Source organism: Homo sapiens, chromosome 16 (genome assembly GCF_000001405.40).
Source record: "Homo sapiens chromosome 16, GRCh38.p14 Primary Assembly".
In the NCBI taxonomy this organism is placed as follows: Eukaryota; Metazoa; Chordata; class Mammalia; order Primates; family Hominidae; genus Homo; species Homo sapiens.
The window spans coordinates 7,630,329-7,653,118 of record NC_000016.10 but is presented as its reverse complement, the minus strand read 5'-3'; the positions used below and the strand labels follow the sequence as shown (position 1 = coordinate 7,653,118).

General features: G+C 41.9%; 1 protein-coding gene across 52 annotated transcripts in view, besides 1 other annotated feature; it reads right to left on the bottom strand.

Moving 5' to 3' along the window:
- The window catches only part of RBFOX1 (RNA binding fox-1 homolog 1), a 2,473,620-nt gene that overhangs the window by 60,222 nt on the left and 2,390,608 nt on the right, over positions 1-22,790 (bottom strand). For 37 of the 52 annotated variants that reach the window (NM_001415887.1, XM_017023318.3, XM_024450303.2 and 34 more), the window contains one exon: positions 22,436-22,516. The exons of the other annotated variants lie outside the window; for them this stretch is intronic. In NM_001415887.1, the coding sequence (NP_001402816.1) occupies positions 22,436-22,516 (81 nt within the window). The remainder of the gene's footprint in view (positions 1-22,435; positions 22,517-22,790) is intronic. 52 annotated transcript variants of the gene reach the window in all.
- Positions 819-1,370: an enhancer, noted in NCBI's record as "OCT4-NANOG hESC enhancer chr16:7701751-7702302 (GRCh37/hg19 assembly coordinates)". NCBI's record gives its function as "activates a minimal SCP1, AML or CMV promoter by ChIP-STARR-seq in naive H9 embryonic stem cells {active_cell/tissue: H9 hESC(naive)}" and the evidence as "EXISTENCE:reporter gene assay evidence [ECO:0000049][PMID:30033119]".

The window sequence follows — 22,790 nt, the reverse complement described above, 5'->3', positions numbered from 1 at the left end:
ACATATGTGTATATGCATGTGTACATGTGTATGAATGTGTGCATGTATATATACATATATGTACATATGCTGATATGAACATATTTGTATACACATACACACAACTTTCCACATGCTAGCAATCTCTGGGGCCGAACTGCATGAGTGGTTTTTATTCATAACTTTCCCCCATCCTATTTTTCCAGTTTCCTTCATGTACAGATATCACTTCTTAAAACTTCTAATTGAAGTATTCCCACTGACACATGTATGTGGTATGAGTGCACAAACCACACATGCCATGAGAAACAGCTTATTACCAACATCTGATAAGTCTGCTGAACTCCTGTGCAGCATTTAAAGGCAAAGGCAACCAGCATGATTACAAATACGCGATAAGTCTGGGACCCCGACCCTTAAAAAGAGAATGTGGGGGCTGGGCGCGGTGGCTCATGCCTGTAATCCCAGCACTTTGGGAGGCTGAGGCAGGTGGATCATGAGGTCAGGAGTTCGAGACCAGCCTGGCCAATACGGTGAAACCCCATCTCTACTAAAAATACAAAAATTGGTCAGGCGTGGTGGCGCATGCCTATAATTCCCGCTACTTGGGAGGCTGAGGCAGGAGAATTGCTTGAACCTGGGAGGTGGAGGTTGCAGTGAGTCGAGATGGCACCACTGCATTCCAGCCTGAGTGACACAGCAAGACTTTTTCTCAAATAAGAAGAAGAATGTGGGCGGGGATATCTTCCCTTGGGTAAAATTCTCTGAGCAAGATGAGGAGGTGAGGAGGAGTTAGGAAGGGGAATTAAGCCTGATGATTACCCCAGCCCCCTGATAACTACTGCTGTTTCCTCTATCTGGGATTCCCTTCCTCCCATTTCATGCAAATCCTAACTAACTCATCAGGGCCCATGGGGCCAGGAAACCACTTTTGCCTTTAAGTTCAGTTGGCTTCTCTGACTCTCCCAGTGCTCTGAGCATAATGACCACACTTGTCCCATCTCACTAAGTAGCAGGCAATGTTTCCCAAACTGTGTCCGCAGAGGATGCCTGATGGTTACCCCGGTTACCCCTGTCCCCTGATAACCAACACTGTTTCCTCTACCTGGGATGCCCTTCCTCCCTTCTCATGCAAATCCTAACTCATCAGGGCCCACAGAGTCAGCAAACCACTTTTCCTTCAAGCTCAGTTCGCTTCTCTAACCCTCCCAGTGCTCTCACCATACTCACTACGCTTGTCCCATCTCACTAAGCAGCAGGTATTGTTTCCCAAACTGTGTCCACAGAGAATGCTTTTCTGAAAAAATGCATTTGGTAAGTCCCTGTCCCAGGAGAGCCACAGCAAAGGCTCAAAAGGCCCACCATGAAGGAAATGCTCTTAGTTAACCCAGCACAACCAACTCCTTTTCCAGGCTTTCTGCAGAAGAGCAAACCTCTCAAGGGGCAGGGGTTGTAGTTCATTTCATGTTAAAGTTGTCTCCACCCTCTATCCAAACTGCCAAGAAGAGCTTCTTCCCTTCCCGCTATCAGCTTCAGGAGTAGAAGCGTTCCACCTTATGTCTCCCCATTATTCAGAGTCCTTTCCACATACACTGATGCATGGACCCAGGTGAGGGTTGCAGAAGGAGCAAAAGGCAAAAGAATTGGAAGGAAAAAATGTGCATGAGAAGCCTCACTGGAGGCCCTGGCTGCGACCAAGGAGGTTGGACGGGGTGACCATGTAGTGCACTTAGAACTCCAAGAATTACACCTACACCCATAGATAGGGTATGTTTGTACTTACATGGTGGGTGAAGGGAGCGGGTGGGGTTTGCCACAGCAGCCATTCCAAATTACTCTTGCAATTTTAAGGGCCCAAATAAAACCCCCGAACCCGACCAAAGTGAAGACCAAATGGCTATTATCTGGAATTCTGTGTGTTCTTAAAGGTCCCACAGCCGTCCTGTTCTATGGATTCTACCGCATCTTTCTATCACAATGCGGGTAAAATACGAGGATTGTAGAACCCAGAATGATTCCGTCTTTCTATTTGTATCTGAGAAGACCATAAAGGTTATTTTTAACTTTTTTTATTCTTGCTAAAGATAGATCATGCCATTTTATTTAACTTTTTTTGCCAGCTCCTAGCACCTGAGTTTCTTGGATCACGTGGCAACTGGTATGCTTGAAACCGCAGAGACGTGTGGGGTCTTAATGGGGAACACGAGTAAATCCTAATATCATAAAAGCCCATAAGTAATGAGAGATGAGACGCTTGCTTCAGGACTGGGGAGAAAATGAGTGGGAATGGCCTTGACTCCAAATCTGTCTTGCCACAGTTCAACTATTAAGTTTTCAGAGGAACACCCTGGATTTTGAAATAAAGAAAATGAAAAATTCACAATCTGGCAGAGCAGCTGGCTGCCTGTGTGAGGAAACACGGTAATTATGCTGACCCATTCATTGTCACTGGCTATGGAGCCGAGTGAGCCAGACAAGCTCCCTCTCAGCCACAAGCAGCTTTTACAATAATTCTTGGAGGATTTAGATGTTGAGATATAACATGAAACAGAAGCTTGGCAAGAGAGAGAGAGGGGAGCACGTGCTGTTAAGAGCGTGGAGCCAGGATTCCATTTTGTACCCTCTTCATTACAGGGAGAAAATGGATTTCCTGAGGCAGGATATTTACAAGGCTTCCTAGGAGGTTCTTTGGGCTCTCCCAAGCAGGGCACATTGGGGGACTTCTTATTTTGTGAAAAGAACACAGGAAGGACTGAAAATCAATTCCTGGCTTAAATAGTGCCTTCCTGGAAGGCTAGGTACCCTTGGCCAAAAAAAAAAAAAAAAGAGAGTTCCACAGGTCATGCTTTGGGCCAGAGGCTTCATGGAGAAAGGGCTGGAGGATTCAAGTGTCCTGGGTGGTTGGTATTTTCAGTGGTCTCTTTCTTGTTAATCTAGGGCTGGCCAAGGGGCCCTTTCGTGAAATCTCTAGTTAGAAAAATGCTCATCGATCACATTCCTTTCTTTCTTACATTCCTTCCTTCCTTCTTATACTTGCTCCTTTTTTATTCCTTCTCCCCTCCCTTTTTCTTCCTTCCTTTTGTCTTCCCTCCCTCCTGTCCTTCCCTCCCTCTTTCTTCCTTTTGTCTTCCCTCCTCCTTTTCCTTTCTCCCCTCGCTCTTCTTCCTCTCCCTCTTCTTCCTCTCCTCTCCCTTCATTTCTTTATTAATTCCTGCCTTCATTACAATCCTTCCTTTCAGTCACTTTGGAATTTTTTTTCTAAAGAGGGCTGCCCTGTTCCTCCCCTGGTTCATGTAAAAATCATTAGCTTGAGTCACAGAAATGAAGGAGAAGGACGCTTACTGGTGCGTGCATGCAAGCTGCGTAAGGGTGGTGATCTCCACGTTCTGCTCATCAGTTAGGATGAGTAACTGGTACCAAGCAGGTATCAGGTACCTAATACTGTGCCTGGACACCCTGTCAGTGGTTAACCAATGTTTGTCTTCCTTCTGGGAGAGTACAGCCACCACCTCTTCACTGTCCACCTTCTATAACACTGTCCTGTGTACAAAGTGACCTGCTCAGAATTTGCAGATAAACAGCATGCAAGCAACACAACCATTAGAGGTGTTCGAACCACAGCGACTCCATCGTAAGTGAAGGCTAGGAAAAATGAGGCCAAGACATGCTGGACTACATTTCCAGAAAGTTAGGTATTCCTGGCCTCTAGATGTTTGTGGTTAAGGAAACAGATTGATTATGTTTACTAAACAGACCCAGACTTTAGGAGTGTCCTGATATCCCAATATCTTGTGAACAGAAGCATTCCTAAATTTGCTTTAAAGATAATATTGATTCTTGCAAAATATAGTAATTAAGAAAATTAATCCTTTATCACAAACCCTTGTAGCAGAGCACATTTCCCCATGATCTTATTTTTTTTTATCCTATATAAACAAGTATTATACCAAGGGGTGGACATGCTCCTCCTCTTACTTTTGGGAACATCCTACTGTCTATGGAGTAGCTGTACTTTCCCCATTTTACTTTCTTTATAAGCTTCCTTTTGCTTTGCACTGTGGACTGGCCCCGAATTCTTTTTTTGCACAAGATCCAAGAATCCTCTCTTAGGGTCTGGATAGGAACCCTTTTCCTGTAACACAACTGAAACTTAGTCACAATCCCTAGAAAGATAATTTCCACTTCTACCCTTGTACGTTTTTCACTGTCTCGGAAAAAGTAACCAGATTTTGAAAGAGTATGATTTCAATCAAGCAAGGGGAGGCTGCTTGGACCAAGTTTGTTGCACTTGGAATTGTCAGAGCCCTCAATTCATTTAAATTCTCCTCGATGGCAGCACACTATCAGGATTTAAAATTGTTTCTTGTTCAGGGGAAAAGCGGGACTCCAGTTTTGGCCCCAGACAGGTAACACCTATTAAAGGGTCTTCATCACATCTCACCCTTCCATATAGCCCCAGACCATGCTCTCTGACAACCCAGCAACAACAGTCCCTGAATAAAATAATTATGTGCAACCAGGAACAATAGAAAATAACAATCTTGATAATTCCAAACTCTTCTGACTTATGACTGTGCCTTCTGTGTTTCTTCCCATCTTTATTAGAAGAATTTTCCTGGTCAGGCACAGTGTCTCACACCTGTAATCCCAACACTTTGGGAGGCCAAGGTGGGCAGATCACAAGGTCAAGAGATCAAGATCATCCTGGGAAACATGATGTAACCCCGTCTCTACTAAAAATACAAAAATTAGCTGGGTGTGGTGGTATGCATCTGTAGTCCCAGCTACTTGGGAGGCTGAGGCAGGAGAATCGCTTGAACCCAGGAGAGGTAGAGGAGGTTGCAGTGAGCAGAAATCGCGCCAATGCACTCCAGCCTGGGTGACAGACCAAGACTCAGTCTCAAAAAAAATAAATAAATAAATAATTTTTTCCTCAATTGTTGGTTTAGGGACAACATGGCTTCTTCGCATGCCACTAACACGAATAATCCATTTCAAGGGCAAAATACACACATGCACACACACAACTGTTTGCCACACTTCCTTTAAAAAACCCAGCACAGTGTGGAAGAATGGATGCTTTTATTATTTGCCTACAGGTGTGGTGGTCTGTAGGATTCTGGAACATGGTAAAATGTATATTTGAGATGATTACCTGGACAGATGATTCAGACACAAATTAAACAAGACTAAAACTGTTTTTTGACCACATAGAAAGAGAACCTCTTACATGTTTACTTTGAGGTATGGCACTTATATTTTGTTGAGTGAGAGTTATGTCATCTATCCTAGTTTAGATGTCTGGATCCAGACATGCCAAATACCCTGGCTTAGAAGTCTAGATCCAGTAAGTGGGCAATGAATGACTATTTAATAAAGCCAATGCAAAATGCCCAGTGGAAACTCACAATGTTCTCTCCATTTCTAGAATATGAAATAAAATATTTAAATCAATGTTAAAAGTCAAACATCACCCTATCCAGTATTTGTAAATGCCTCTTTGTTAATTAAAAAACAATGTTAGGGGAAAAAGACACCAAACAATGGTCATTTCTAAACCCCAGCACTGCAAGTTTGCTTTTTTTTTTTTTTTCCTAGTTCAATTTCAAGTTAACTCACATGTAAGCAGACCATCAATAAGGAACAATGGAAAGGACGCAGGTTGATTTGTGGATATAGTATAAATCCTTAGTTTTTGGCATGAGGGAAACAAGAAAACCCATAGGTTCATTATACTGAAGAGATTCCTTCTGAAGCCTTATCCAGCATGAATCAAAGAGAAAAATCTGGTATCACTACAACACAAATTGGATTCAGCTCATAAGCTAAAAATGAATTTCTCTCAAAACAGGCAAGAGCTTTCAGAGAAAATACCAATTGAGCATCTTGTTGACACATGAGAATTTCCAGCCCACCCACTCTCACCCTTCAGCTAGATTTATATACAGAGCATATTCTGGGGGAGGTTAGTAGAGTAACCATCTCAGTTCTTGGGAATAAGAAGTTCTGTCCCATGGAACTCGATGAAATGGAAGCTTTAGGGATGTAACAAGAGGCACGCTGTGGTGGTGCTCAAGTATCACGGCAAATCAACATTTTAGAACGGAAGATGTGTGGGTGTATCCACCAGCCAAATGGGCCATTTACTAAAGTGTCAACTGCTAACTGCCTGTCTCCCCCTCAAAAACAAAGCCCCCACCTCCCACCTCCAATGAGCCCTGCACTCAATGTATTTACAGTGATGAGTGTGTCTTCTCTCCCTCTTTTACGAACATGGTGCTTACCTTCGAAAATAAACACAAATGAGATCATCTCACCAGCCAGGAAATCCCAAGAGAAAAAACACAAAACCAGTGGAAAATACTTGAGGGTTATAAACTGCATATTAAAGTTTTAGAGCTCTGGGGGAGATGGAAGAGTAGCAGATGCAAAACCCGACAGGGGGGCGGATTCTGCACCAAAGCCATAAAAATATACAACCGCTTTAATGGGCAATTATTCTTTGCATTTGTGCACTGGTTTGAATTTGCATGAGACTGCCAGATGCCCTGGAAAAGGTGGGCATCCGAATGGATGAGGGGGGCTCTCTTTGTCCTGCTCCTCCTCTCCCTTTGCTCCATAATGACACATTTCCCCAGCCTTGGAAGGTTTTAAGATGGAGAGAGATTCATGCAAATTTGGGGTGAAATTGTTCTGTGGGTAATTTATGGTAGGAAATATTCACTTACACAATTCTGGGGGTGCAGATGTGCTTTCAACAGCGGGTTGATGGTTTTGCAGGATTCCCCTTGGGGGAACTCCCATTCCATGTGCTGGACCATAAATTAAGAAGTGGCATAATAGGTAACATACTGAGGCGAAATAAACCACCAGCCATAGCTCATAGAGCAGCAATTTCCGAGGCAGGGCATCGTGCAATGAACATCACAATGAAGAATCAAAAAACCTGATTTTTTCCAAATGGCAAAATATGTTTTCTCCTTTTTCAGAACGAATCTCAAAAGTACATCAAATTGGTTTATAACATAGGATTTTACAGACAACTAGGTCACTCTCTTTAAATGGCCTTAAATTAAAATTTTAACATGATGGCACTTATTAAGTTCTAGCTCCAAACAAAAATGGAAAGGTTTTTCTTTTTTTAAAAAAATCCAGTAATTTCAGAGTTTCGCAGAAAAAAAAAAAAGGTGGGTGGGTGGTGGGTGGGGGAGAAAGCTTCCATCCTTTCGGTCACTGATAGAAAGACCAAAACGGCCACTTAATTTGTCGAATCTCCAGTTCTCATATACACATACATTTATCCCTGAAACACACATTTGGGATTGACCCTTGTTTCAGTATGAAATGCATGTTGATATTAAATACTGCTGTTTAGAAGTGAATAAATCTACATTTTGGACAAACAGTTTCTTCTAGGACATTCTCATTTGAAATGCATTGAATAGGAAAACAAAAATTTCTAATTAATGTACAAGTCTAATCACCATGCTCCACATGGAAGAGTAATTTTTCACTGTTCATTTGCTTGGTTTAATCTCAACACTGACATTACAGAAACGCAATGTCCTATAAATCTCTGCTCATTTGTTTCTTTAATATTCATATTCCATTGAACTGCAGCTGCTTGTTGCTGCAGTCTATTACAACATGCAAAAGTGTCGATAAAAATATTATGAAAGGCAAGATGTGTTTCTTCCTGGCTGCGTGTGCCATTTATTTGGGGAAAGACAATAAATGACTCAGGGATTGTCCCTCAGCCTGCTGCTTGGTGGGTGATTAGTGATTAATTACCTTGCAGCAAATTGACATGGCACGAGGAAATTGACACAGCCCTGATTAATTAACTTTTTATGGGTGGTAGTTACTCACAAAACACTGCGCACCATAATTGAATCTCTTTACATAACGTCATGGTAGAAAAGTTTTAGTCAAATCCAAATTAGCCAGAAGTTTCTAGGCTGTTATAGGTCTGATTGGGATGCATCGAAGGAATTGGCAAGAATGTGAACTTGGAGAGAAATGCACATTTTTGAAAGGGAAAAAAAAGATGGTGACAACGTGCTGGCCTGATTGTCCAAGCTGAATATATTGATCTAAATCTCGACTTCAGCTAGACTTCGGGAATAAGATTGTAAGAGGCTAAAATGTCTCTTTTTTCTCCAGCCTCACTTGGCTGTATTTCAGTGGCTTTTGGCAGATTCTCTCTCCTTTGTCCAGGCTCTAACAGTGAACTTGACTCCCAAATTCAGTTCTCAGTTCAAACATCGCTCCCTCCAAAGGCTTTACCTCTTTATCTAATTTCACATCTCCTGACACCCACAACTGTTACCAGTTACCATCATATTACCCTGTTGTTTTCTTTTTCCTTCCCATTAGTTTCTTATCACCTGAGTTGATTTCAACTTCCTTATACATCTCTCTATAGGGATGTCCTGAGGACTCTATGTTGGTCCCTACTGTGTCTCCAACATCTAGAAGATGACCGAGCACAAGGTGATCACTGATATGTGTATTGACTACGGTGTGTGATGAACTCGGAATGCCATAGTCCTACAGTTACGAAAGAAAATGGGTGGCAATCCTCAAACGGGTGAGAGTTGCTAAGGAGCGGCCTGTGAGGGATGCATATTCCCACAGAAACTCTGGGGTGATGGAGTTAGTGATAAGGGATCCTGGACCTCCCTTGTCTAAAAACCCAGGCAGTGATAACTGGAGTAATTCAAGGAACGATGTGATTGCAGTTGGCAAAATTCCAACCTCTGAGGCTCCATTATCAGGTGGAGAAAATTCAATTGCATGATGATAACAGCTAGGATTTACTAGCACTTGCTAATTGCCAGACCCGGAGATTAACCCACTAACGCCTCACAAAACCATATGAACCATGATTGTTGCTATCTTCACTTTCCTGGGGTGGAGATGGAGGTATAGAGTGGCTCAGATACTCACCCAGCGGTTTGAACCAAGGCAGCCTGACACCAAAGCCTATGATTTTATCCATCATGCAACATAAAGGCAACCCCAGTCAGGCTCCGGGAAAAGCTTTCTACTTCTACTCTCTCTCTGCTTCTTAGAGACTCTCAGTTTGGATTCCCTCCTATTGCCTGTACAAGCTGCTACATCATCTCCCTATATCCATACCACATCTGAGACAGAGCCAGCCCCAATTCATCATAGACTGGGTTAATTTGCAGGGGAATCTGTTGACAGTCCTCCCAGAGATCTCAATATGCTTCTTGTTGGGGGATAGGGGAGACATTAGAGGGTCTGTGTGTGTGCCCGCCATTTCTTCTGTTAGATACTTAAGTTCTGAGATTTCAAGACACCTGGAAAGGCCCTGTTCCTTTTCTGCTAATTGGATGCCGGCCATAGGGATCACCACTGATTTATGTTCCTGGTAAGAGTTCAAAGGCAGGCTGTTTCCCTTTGCCACTAGGGTTTACCTCTACATCTCGATGTGAGGGGGAGGTTGTGTTCAACCCAAAAATATTGGGAATGCAGATTCTGTAGAGTTAGTGAGCAGGTTTGTACTAGTACAGTGTGAGTAAAGGCTGCAGATGAACACAAACCTGATTACTGTCACAATGATGAGCTCCTTACAACTAAATTCAGCTAGAAATTTCTAATTTGGAAGACTGGAATGAGAAACTTATTTCAAAGCCTTGGAAGATCTGCATAAGAAACCTTCATAACATTTTGGGCTATTGCACGTTTTTCTATATATAATTGCTTTTTTAATATGTTATCAAATATCACATTACAACTTGGGTTTTTGAAATAAGTCTTCTTTTTGTGGAAATAAAAATAGTCATCTAGGAAAATAAAATTACATGTAATGAGCACACTGGGATTTACTCTGAGCAACGAGTCTGGTGTTCCCAAAGGAGAAAGTTCCCCTAACTTAACAAATTAAAGCAACAGCAAAAGACACACACACCATTCACACACATGAATATTCTTTGATCATGTAAGGTCCTTGTGTCTCTGAGCGAAGGCAGTAGAATTGGTGGTAACTAATTGGCGTGCTGTTCCTGCTTACCTCCCAAAGTTAGCTGTTGTATCTTTCCTCACAGGTTATAAATGGCTAGATTAATCCAACAGACAAGTGGCAAATGTCATGGCTGCTAAATGTGTAGTGATATGTTTTTACTATGCAGAAGAGGTATTTGTGATTTGCCTACTCACAGGTATCGACAATTTCCCCCGCCGGGCAGGATTTTTGTAACATTCGGCAAAATGAGAATGAGTCTCAGTCTTGGAGTGTTTAACTTGGCAGAACTGCAAAAGGCATTTGCAAAGGTGCTTTCTGTCCTTTGAAGGAGAAGACAAAGCCCTGAAGAGCTGAGATTTATTTTAATTTGGATGCAGCAGTTCGTCATCATCTATTAGTTTAACAAAATCTGTACTGATAACCATGTTGTTGTTTCCCGGGAAACCACGGAAAAAAAAAACCCAAATAATTTATATAATTACTTTATCCAGTGCATATACATACTGAAGTTTCAATTGTTAAATCATTCATGTTCTATCTAACAGCTGGCTGAAACAGCAAGCTCGGTGAATTGCCTCTCCAGGTAGGAAACAGGGCAAGTGAGATAAATTAGCTTCCTTATGCTGGGCTGGATTTCCCAAGGTTCTCTTGGGCTGACGCAGCTCCTGAACATGAAGCCTTCAGAGGGGTCTGACGGTGGCTCACAAGATGGGTACGCGACGCACATGCATTGTTCATTTCAGTCCCAGCCATAGCTGTGGGGATAGCTGATCTGTGTGTCAGTGCTGAGGCCATCTGATTTTGAGCATCAGCTTTCAGACTTAAAAAAAAGAGTCCTGATCCTTTGATCAATGCCCAAAGCCAACCTGGAGGACAGGTACTGTCTGAGCCTAGGGATCATCTGCCTGATATCTGAGCCAGAGCCTCCAAAACACCCATATAGAATAGACTAAGGAACTACCATCCAGGAGTGGTCCACCAGTCCAGTCACTGGACTAATATAAACCATCCAAACCCGCTTCTTTGGTGAACTTTATTTTTTGAGACAGGGTCTCCCCCAGGCTAGAGTGCAGTGGCGTGGTCATGGATCACTGCAATCTCAAACTCCTGGGCTCAAGTCATCCTCCCACCTCAGCCCTTCCAGTAGCTAGGACTATAAAAGTACACCATCACATCTGGTTTGGTGGACTTTAAAAAATCCTGGAGAAGGTGGCTTCTGAGCCAGAAAAAGAAAGAGTAGCATTTGAGGAGCTGTAACGCCTCAAGCAGCCTGGAGGACGCTGCACAACAATCTCATTTAGTGCTCATGGGTAGGTAGGTAGTCATGGCTATTTACATGGCGAGGAGACTTGGCCAAGGTCACAGCACTAGTCTACCGTGACAGTTTACTCCCAGACTTTCCTGAATCCAGCTCTTTTCACTAAGTCACGCTGTAGCTCAAGAAAAATGCTGTAAAACCACTAGTGGGAATTAGGACTTGCCAGAGAAAGGAAAAATGATCTTCTGGAAATGTTTGAGACTCCTGTAGCAAATAGTAAGGGTAGGGATAATAAATACCCATAGATGGTTGTGCCTTTCTGTTTGCTTTCATATGAAAAGTATTAGGCATCAAGAGCCTATGTTGCATACAAACAAAACTCAAGGAGATAAATCTAAAACATGTGGTGTGGTGTTTGGTTCTGAAACTGCATTTTCTTAACAGTGCTCCGAAGTTCTCCATTAGGGATAAATAGCTTTTGGCATGACAGTTCTTTTATATAAAAACATGATTTAAGAAAATGGTGTTTGAAGCACGTGTTTACATTACTGGGTTTATATGAACTACACCAGGCTCTTTTTCCCTTGGATGAGAGGCAACCTGAGCTGCTCCTCATGGTCTTTGCACTGAGATTTATTTTAGAAAAGAAATAAGGCAAGGGAAGAAGCAGCAGCCACCTCTATGGTTGGACACATTTCTATCCAAGAAGACTGGTATTTGATGAAAGAATGATTGCTCCAGCTCTTGAATTATGAGTGCCCTTGGATTCAGCCTCTCCCTTCCTAAGCTGTTCCTTCCCAGCTCTGTAGACCCAGAGAGAGCTTGACTCAACTTATAAAGCTGGGGCCCTTGGGAATGTGCACCTGCTCCATTGCATCAAACTGTCCTCTTTTACATTCCAAGAACCAAGCAAGATCTTGCCGTTGGCCCCTGCAACTTACCTGCTCAGAGCTCTGAATGTAAAATGGATTCCTTTTTTTTTTTTTAATGTAAATCCACATTAGTTTGGGGAAGCAAATAAAGGGCAGATAAGTGCTTAAAAAATAAACTCTCAAAATAAGCCTCTCAAACTATTGAAGGATTTCTCTTGACTCTGATGAGGCCGGATGAGGGTGAGTTTTGTCAAGGAGTTAAATGCAGGAGCTGCACTAGCCAGTTGATCCTCTTAAGAAAATGTGAGCATTAAAAAACACTTTCTGTCAATGCTATCACAGGACTTGGGGTTTCCAGGGAATTCCCCCAGAATAATTGCCTCACTGCCTTTCTGAAACATCTCATCTCGGCCTTGTTCTCTGGCTGTGTATGCATTGGAATCCCAGGGCAACATAGTTTATTGTTTTAATATCTGTCTGACACAAAGCAAAAGCATCCTCTAGTGACTCCTTATCTGTCATATGTATTTCTGTGAAAGAAATATCAAGACAAATAAGATGTTTGGGGGCACACCATGGGATGGTAGTTTTTGCAACTGGCGGCCTTTTGCAGCCAGACACCCATCTGAAAAAATGAAAATCACCATTCTGCATTGAGATTAATAACGAAAGCAATGACAGAGAGCTGCATGGCAGCTGCCTGAAATGTGGCTGCCTCTTTGCAGAACTTTCCCTTTAAACAACTGGGGGTGAGAGGTTCTACTAGTGGTTTTAATTCTTTCTTGGAATTGGTTAAAAAGGACAAACAACAAAGTGGGTTATGATTATGACAGCCAAAGAAACAACACACGGATGAAGAAGTTGGGGGTAGTGGTTGCAGGGATTAAAAATACAAATGAACCTATTCTGAGGACTGTGATCCAGGTGGAATAACTAAGTTAATATCAGAGCTAGTAAAAGCCTCTTAGAAATCATCTGTTAATCAAATGTGCTGGGACATGGGAAAAGTTGAGCAGATGGAGAAAAGCAGAGATGGTGCTTCAGTGATGGAGAAAGAATAATCTCTGGAGTTCACCATTGGTGGGTGGGGGGTAGCTGGATAATTCTGCAATGCTGTGGGCAACTATTGTTCATAAATAGATAAGTGCTATGATTGAGGTGGCAGGGAGAGCATGGCACCTAGTAGGTGTCTGAAAACACCTCAATCCATGGGTTTGGTGAAGCAAATAGGGTCTCAGTAGCAAAGGGCACCTGTCTACAGTGTTGAAGAATGGTGAAAATAGGGACACTTAATTCACCTACTGAGAGGCACCCCAATGGCAGTGCTAACAGTGAATAAGTCTCCTGTTGGGTGTTACTTCCCAAATATCCCCTAGGAGCACTGCGTTTGAAATTCTGAAACCTTAGCATTATATATATTTGTCTGTTATGTGTCCCCCCAAGAATATAGGTATAATAGAAGCCAACTTGAGAGTATCTTCACAGCATATTTTCAGGATGTAGAATTGCACCTGGCATATAGAAAAAACTTCAATAAAGATTGGTTGAATGAAGTAACACCTTTCAACCCCCTCTCCGATCAAAGGACTAAAAACTAGAAGGAATTATCTCTGAGAAAATGACAAAGAGGACACAGGTAGGCTGCCACCGTAATGCTGAACCATAGCAAAAGAGAAGAAGGAGTGTCTGATTCCCTGATGGGAAGGGTCCAGCCCAGAGGATCTTTTAGAGCCAGCATTGTTGAAAGTGTGGGGATAGAAATGGAAACAGTTCAGACAGAAGATCCTGGGTAAGACAATGGAGTCTTCACATTTTGCCCAAGGAAACTGGGGCAGGTCTTAGACTAATGTCAGTAGAATTAAGCCTCTGAAACCAGATTTGATCATTGTGCAAGCAAAACTAACCACCCAATTCCTGTATCTTGATCAAATTTAAGTCAAGATCATTTTGTATCATTTAAATCAAGATCAATTTGTATCTTGATCTTAATAGGTACCAGGAGAAGGGTACCTATCTTTATGTACTACTTCACGTCATTTAAAATGTGATAAAATGGTACAAAATGCAAAAAATACATGAGGGTGCACACTTAAAAGAATTTTCCTTATTTCCACCCCCAAGCAGCCAGCCACCATGTTCTGTCCTTTTAAGTAAGAATTACGGCCTGACAAAGAGATGGGTAAACTATGGCGCTTGGGCCCAATCTGGCCTACAGACCATTTTTGTAAATAAAGTTTTATTGGAACACAGTCACGCCTATTCATTCATGTTTCAACCTAGAAGTCTATGGCTATATGTACAGTAGTCTATGGCTACTTTCAAGCTATAACAAGAGTTGAGTCGCTGCAACAGAGGCTAGATGGCCTGTAAAGCTGAAAATATTAATAACATCCAGCCTTTTACAGAATAATTTTGCTAAGCCCTGGCCAGACATCTCAAAGAGGGGAAAACTGCCTCTCCAAACATGATGGGATGGGGAGGAGACAGCACAGCCTTGGCCCAAATAGAGTTGCTGGACAGCTGCTGAGAGGTTCCCCGTGACCACTCCCTGCTCAGCCATTTCTTGGAGTCCATCCTGTTTCCAGCCTCTGGGGTAAGTTGAGAGAGTAGTGAAGAAGGCGGCTTGGGATTTAAACAGGCTTGGTTCAAAGCTGATCTAGCTGGGTGATCTCGGACAAGCTTCTTAACGCCCCCAAGCCTAAATTTCCTCCTGAGAAAAGGTAGCATAATTAATCATACCTGTCCTATAGTTCCTTCTTAAGAAAGCTAATGAGAAGGGCTTAGCACAATGCCTGACATATAGTGAGTGCCCAATAACCACTACTTATGATTATGGATATCATCATGATTTCAGGGCTGCAACTAGGTTAACAGGCGTTCACTGTCGTTGCAGAACTTAAGTGGGGGGTGGAAGGGAGGAAACACCAAAAAACTCTGTAATGGAGATAGATCATGTTTTAATGCAATCTTTTAACACCCAAATTATTTTTTAAATCCACGATGAGCAGACTATCAAAATTGAAATAGTGCTGGATTAAGCCATATGGGATCTTAAGGCTCCAAAAGGAAAAAGGAATAAAACTTATTCTGTCTTGATATTCTGTTAATCATGGATCTTTTTCTGTTACTTTAGATTTTTAAAAATATTGCATTAAAATGCTATTTATGAGGTATTTGGATACCCCTTTAATCTTTGAAGTGAGCACGTCACTTGCTTACCCTAGTCCCGGAGCTAGTTATTGTTAAGCACCCCCTCCATAAAATAGTAGAAAAATATCTAGGAGGAAAGCAAGAAGCTGTCAGACACTGGCAAGTGAGGGAAAAAGAAGACACAATTCTTTACACCAATGTGTCAGTAACAAAATGACCTGTATGTGTCCTTTCTAGTAACTGAGTCCAGCCCACTGACATTTTCTGTATTGTGCAGAAGAAAAAGGAAGCCGTAAATTAATTTAGGTCCTTACTTTAATTACAGAAACCCATGGAAGTTCTATCAATTACCTAAAAGTAAAATAGTACAGGCCTGATTTATGTATGTTTCTGCCACTTAAATCATCGTTTTATGAATTCCACACAATTACTTCCTTAAAATCTGCAATCAATATATCAGTTGAAACTATGCCCCTACCACCTGCCCTTGAGTTTCATAGAAGTCAATAAATGAGGAATTGATTTTGCATTTTGATAACATTCAGGTTCCCAAGCATTTGCCCATGATATCTTTTTTTTCCTTCTTTTTTTTTTTTTGAGGAGGGAAGGGTATCAGGGTGAAAATTTCAGGGGAAACGATAATTAATCTTCTATTAACTTTAGGATTTATCCTGATGGGGATCTACTGTTCAACTCTGGCTTTCATGGAACTGTGGAAAACGCGCTCATTGGCATTGATAAGCATACGGAACAATAAAGAAATTTCTTCCAGAAAATGCTTTTCTAGCCCTTGACAAATAAAACTGACATCCCTGTATCAAGGGGCTTGCTACGGACTAAATTATGTCCTCTCCACTCAAATTCATATGTGGAAGCCGTAACCCCCAATGTGATGCTTTGTGGAAATGGGGCCTTTTGAGAGGTAATTAGGTTTAGATGAGGTCCTGAGGGTGGGCCCTTCATAAGATTCATGCCCTTATATGAAGAGACACCAGAGATTGCTCTATTCCTCTCTCTCTCTCTGTTTCTCTCTGTCTCTGTCTCTCTCTTGTGAAAACATGGGAGAAGGTGGCCATCTGTAAGCCAAGAAGAAAGCCCTCACCGGAACCTAACTTTCTTGGCACCCTGATCTTGGACTTCCAGCCTCCAGAACTTTGAGAAAATGAATGTCTGTGGCTTAAGCCTCCCAGTCTACGGTATTTTGTTATAGCAGCCCAAACTGACTGATACAGTGCAAAACAAAACTTGCTCTTGACAGGGATTTTGTAATCCAAAATGACGTCTAAAATGATCAGAAAAGACAGATACATTTGCCTATGTAATTAAAAATGTATGGTGGAATCTGAGCAACATCAATCGTCAAAACAGGAAATACACGTGTAACATCTGAACCATTCATAGGTTATCCTAGTAAACAAGTGTCACTCACGTGTGAACTGATAATAAAATAAGAAAAATCTCAAACAGGAAGATGTATACTGGAAATTCAAAGAGGTAAAGTCTAAATGAAAAATGTGAAAGACGGTGATCATTAATAGGAGAAAGGCAGAGACAAACTAAAACAAATTGAGATGTTATTTTTCACTATGCAATTTGCAAAATAGAGCAAAACATGGCAGTGCTGGCAAGCATGCTGGAAGGGAACCAACAGTTCCATGTTTGGCAATGTTAAGTGTAGAATGGATGTAGTTGCACGTAAGGGTATTTGCAAATATTTTTACTATCTCCTTGTGGAGGGAATAGAAAAAGAGGTAGCTTGGGCTGGGCGCAGTGGCTCATGCCTGCAATCCCACCACTGTGGGCGGCCAAGGCGGGTGGATCACGAGGTCAGGAGATTGAGATCATCCTGGCTAACACGTGAAACTCCGTCTCTACTAAAAATACAAAGAAATTAGCCGGGCATGGTGGCGGGCGCCTGTAGTCCCAGCTACTTGGGAGGCTGAGACAGGAGAATGGTGTGAACCCAGGAGGTGGAGTTTGCAGTGAGCCGGGACTGCGCTACTGCACTGCAGCCTGGGTGACAGAGCAAGACTCCATCTCAAAAAATAAAAAAATAAATAAATAAAATAAAAAGTAAAAAGAAGTGGCTTGAATGACTATGGATAGAGAATGGTTGAATTGACTGTCAACCATTTATGTCATTAAACAAACTGGATGAAAATATCTAAAAGGCTTAAAGGGAGACGGTCACAATGTATTATGTGAAACTAAATATGATTGATATATGTAATGTCCATGTAACATCTGTGTATACTCTCCTCTGTAAAGTCAAACTAATAACACACCGTCCCCCGCCCCCACCATTGCATGTGTGTATGTCCTTTCCTGAATAACCACGGAGAAAATGTAGAAAGATACTGGGCGTCCACACACTTTTAAGGGTTTATGTTACTGGATAAAGTGGGGATATTATTCCCACATTATTACAATGGTGTGTATGTTTATTTGCACACTTCACATTGATTGCAATGAGCACCTGTTACTATTGTAATTTAAAACATATTCATAAAATCCTGAAGAAAACAAAATAAACATTTACGTGCTTCTGGAAACATCTACTTCATATGTAAATAAGGATCTGCGGTAGCTGGCTTTGCTAATCTGAATCAGAAGTGAACTTTTTCATTCATGGAACCAATGATTTACCTTTAGATACTTCAACTAATGAAAATGAAACTCATGTATTAATTTGGAAGAGATGTGGTATGTTCTTTACCTTCCTATTTCTGCCTGGTGCCAATTTTGATGTTGAGCATTCGCCATATGCAAAACAGCGCTGGCAATAATACACCTAGTACCTTTCCCCTCAACAAGAGGAGCAGGCTGACCACTGGCCTTCGGAATGGAATGAACAGTCCACATACCAAGCAGCCCTGCCCATTTCACTAAACCTTTCTGTTAAGGGGTTGAATTGTTTCTATTGAAAGCCTATTGAAAAATATTAATTGCAAATGTTTTCCATTTGACACTAGGTGATGTTGCCTAATTCTCTAGAGTTTTGTTCTTTCTTCATTTAAGTTTCATAGAAAGCAGGCCCATTTTACACTCTGGATGAGAGTAGTTTATTAGGACGTGTAAGAGGATGCATGATGACCTGTGACACAATTTGAACTAGGGTTTTAAACCTGCATGAAGTTCAGGGGTGACGGAGAAAAACTGGAGTCATTTGGGGTCCGATGGAAGAGTCTACGGAATTAGTTGTATGGACACAAAGTTATCAGTGAAAATCTTTCTCTTAATACTTTTATGAGTCCTGGGTCACATTGTTAGGATGATTCACTTAATGGGGGAGAAAACCTCACTGTTATGCAAAAATGCATATCAAAAGCAGATAACTTCAGTAGGAATTATTTTCATTACAGACTAATTCAGCAGGGTTCCTTTAAAAACCATCTCCCCTACTGCATTTAAGGATGTTATTTACAGATGATTAGCTATTTGACTAGGAAGAGGTACAATTTAAGTCTCGAAAAAAAAAAACAAACATCAAAGGCCAGTTAAAGATCCATGGAGGAAAAAAACGCAAAAAAACAAAAACGAAGCTCCAGAGTTATCTTGCAAGTCTGTAGACACATAGGATCCAACATACAAAAGTGTAATTTACACACACCTTCCTTCAGGAGCACAGCTGTTAAACAGAAATGAGGAACATATGCATTTTCAAGTTAAAAAACAAGAGCATCCTACACAATTGCTGAAAAGTATGGTAGCCTCAGCTTTGAGGGCAATGGTTGGATTCCTAGAGAAAAAGTCTGCACCCATCAGAGAGCAAAGATAAAATATGTGACTCTCAGCCCTGTGCAAATCGAAACTGTTGGGAGAAGAAAAATCCTGGATGACCATGAATATAACTCGTGTGTGTGTGTGCGCACAGGCCTGCATGTAAAAATAACCCTTTATGTGCCAGCTGACCTGTTGCAGGAAATGGGGAATGGTTTTGTAGTAGAATATGCACCTAATCTGGAAGAGAAAAACCTAAGTGAATGTTGCCAAGCCAGCAATCCACAAACAGCCTAGACCAAAAAGCCATAAAAGAGAAAGGAAACCGCAGCAATGTGTCTTAGGGATTTGCGGATAAACTTAACATTCAACACCAATGCACAGCCTGCAAACAGAAATAACTGAAGGCCCCTCTGCCTACCCAATTGGAGAGGGAGGGGTCTCAGAGTTGGTCACCATTACAAAATACTAATCGAGATTGACCATCTGAATGCCCTTGCTTAAGCCTCGACAAGTGAAGATTCTTAATGTAAGAAACTAGTTTTCATTTTGCTTTTTAATGGGGTGGTAAAATTAGCTATTTTCTTTAAAACTGCTCTATTGAAGGGTGTTTATTTTGTTTAATATTTTTGAAAAAAAATTGCTATGAACCTAAGTTCTCAAGAATGGGGGAATAGATTAAAATATAATATAATGAAACAATACTATGGGTTCATTAACATATTTTTATAAAAAGCACATGGCATATAATGTGCAGGTAATACGACTGATACAATTTAGAAATGAAGGATGTTGGATGCACATTATACAATTTCATAATTGTTAATTTTTACTTTAAACATAGAAAAAGGTACAGCTACACACAGTGCAGTGATATTGCCACTTTGTATTTTTAATACTAAAATCGACCCTTTAAATTGGAGATCAGTACACTTCTTCTGTAAAGAGCCGGACTGTTAAAACGTTAGGCTTTGCAGGCCACCTTGGTCTCTGGCACATTCTTTGTTTTTGTTTTGTTTTTTTCAATCCTTGGAAAATCTAAACATCATTCTTCATTCATAAGCCTTGTAACACAGGCCATGGGCTGGCTTGGGTGGCCCTCGCTTTAGATGGTTTCATTTTCTCTCTATGCTTCAGCTATTTTATTATGGAGAATTTGGGAAATATTTTCATGTGATGTGAGAGATGCTTCCCCAATTCACTTTAGAATAGCTATACCAATTCAAACTAGCACACTTTTGGAGTTGATTGTTTTGTTCACTTCTGTAAAGAAAATTGAAATATAGATATGTCATATCATCATATAGAGCCATACTGTCCAATATGGTAACCATTAGCCCCTATATGGCTAATTAATATAACATAAAAATGAGTGTCTCAGTTCCATCAGCACTATGCTGGATAGCATAAAGATTTTATCCCAGACACTTCTATAGGACCGCAATGTTAGAGAAAAAAATAATACTCTAGGACCCAGCCCTATGGTAAGTTTTGGCACACCAACTCTCTTTCAGAAAATAATATAGACGAGGAAGGCTAGGTAAATGGTACAGCGATCAGATTTAGTCAAATGGACTCAGAAAGGTAGCTGAAGGTTGAATAATGTTCCCAGGTTCAGAAGACAAATCTATTACACACTGGCTCTGGGATTGCCCTCCATTTCCTCAGTTGTAAAGCAAACATTGTGATACCTACCTGGTGCTGGTTTTGAGAGGAATACACAAGGCTGGACATGTGAAAATGTGTAGTAACATTACAATTTCAGGAGATACATGCACACACATTTACACTGGCCCCAAGGAGGCCCTTCTGAATTTGTTGTCACAAATTCAGAAAGAACCACTTCTTGCCAATATGATTAGATTTGGGCTTCTTGGGAGGCACAGAAAAATGTCTTGCATTTAATTAATGCCAAAATTGCCATTAAAGATTATAGTCTGGGCCAGGGGCAGTGGCTCACGCCTGTAATTCCAGTACTTTGGGAGGCTGAGGTGGATGGATCATCTGAGGTCAGGACTTTGAGACCAGCCTGGCCAAGATGGGGAAACCTCATCTCTGCTAAAAATACAAAAATCAGTGGGAGTGGTGGTACATACCTATAATCCCGGCTACTTGGGAGGCTGAGTCATGAGAATTGCTTGAGCCCAGGAGGCGGAGGTTGCAGTGAGCTGAGATGGCACCACTGCACTCCAGCCTGGGTAACAGAGTGAGACTTTGTCTCAAAACCTCTAACTGTGAGAAACAACTGGCTGTCAGACCTCCTGAAGACTTCAGACCCTTGGGTGTGTCACATTATATTTTTGATTCCCTGTGACTGCTGGTAACAGGGAGGTGCTGCCCCAACAGTGAGGAGGTTGGTTTTCCTCAGCTTCACAATTTAGGAAACGAAGATGTTTGGTTTTGGCACGATGGTGAGGATTCTCCTACGTCTCTTATCCCTTGAGCCTGGTACTCCTGCTCTCCTCCCCATCCCTGCCTTTTACAACTACTCTGAGAAACAGCCCCACCCCCACTCCAGGCACCCAGACTCACTTTTAAGCACTGACCCTAAAGACGACTCATTCTGCAGTTACGGCAACTCCACAGGATTTACACACATTGTATAAAACAGATGTTAAAGTTTCAGCTGTGGCTGGGAGATTCTTTAAGAAGGGGTATACCCTCTGGGAGAACATGGTAGAGTCAGTGGCGGCTTTAATTCTTCTACCTGCTCTGGGAATTGGGGTGAGGATAGGGCATCCTTGAACCCAGAGCATCCATCCGAGGCAGAGAAATCTTCGGTTCTTCCATGTCAATGTTGTGATCTACTTCCTGTATTTATTTTGGGTCTCTTCCCTCCCGCACTGGATGGGTATACTTATCTACGTTTAAAAGTGCCCCGATTTTTTAAAAGACAGTTATTTAATGTTGCTGCCCCTGCACTTGATTAAATGAGGGGGGAACCACATTTCTCTCTCTGCTCCTCCTCCTCCTCCTCCTCCTCATTGGAATTACATAGCAAAGGACAGAACAGCCTTGCAAACAAGTGACTAGCTGCAGGCTAGTGGTATTTTCCATCGTGAGACAACTGTGTACAAGAATCCTGGTTAAGCATCTTTTACTAGGCAAGGGTGCCTTTGGGGTGGCCTGTATATGCTATTTAAATTATTTTTATATTAATTTGCAAAGCTATGATAGAAGGCAGGCAATGAGCTAAAGCTTCCCACCCTCCCATGCCCCTCCCCACCAACCCCATGCCCACATTCCCAACCATTGGACCCAATCCTGACGGATCTAACAGAGAATGTCCAGGACATCTGGGAAGTGGCATGGGAGACAGACATGCTTATGAAAATTAACTTCACCTCAGAGAGAGCCACAAGAGAGGGTGGGGCAGAGGGAGGGGGAGAGAACTTACATGGCAGGGAAGGTGATTGGACTCAGATTTATGTCACAAAACAAAAAGAGCCACGACAGTGGGCTTACTTGCAGAAGTATATACAAGTGAACTGGGGGCACTGTACATGGAAGATCCCTCCTGGTTGGCCTGGCACAACAGGACCGTGCCTACGAAAGAGAGAGAGAGATGGTATCTGGTTTGGGAATCGGTACACTACACCTGAGAGATCACGGCAATGCAACCGAGAAATGCAGAGAAATGAAAACATAGCCACATCCCAGAGCGCAGGACAAGGGTACCCAACAAAGCCCCCTGCCTTAGCCAAAGGGAATCAATGGAAGCCCCCCCACCCACCACAACCCGGCCCACCAAGCACACGTCATGACTTTTCACACGGGGTTGTGTAGCGGACTCTGGTTGCCCCAGGGCCCAGGTTCAGAT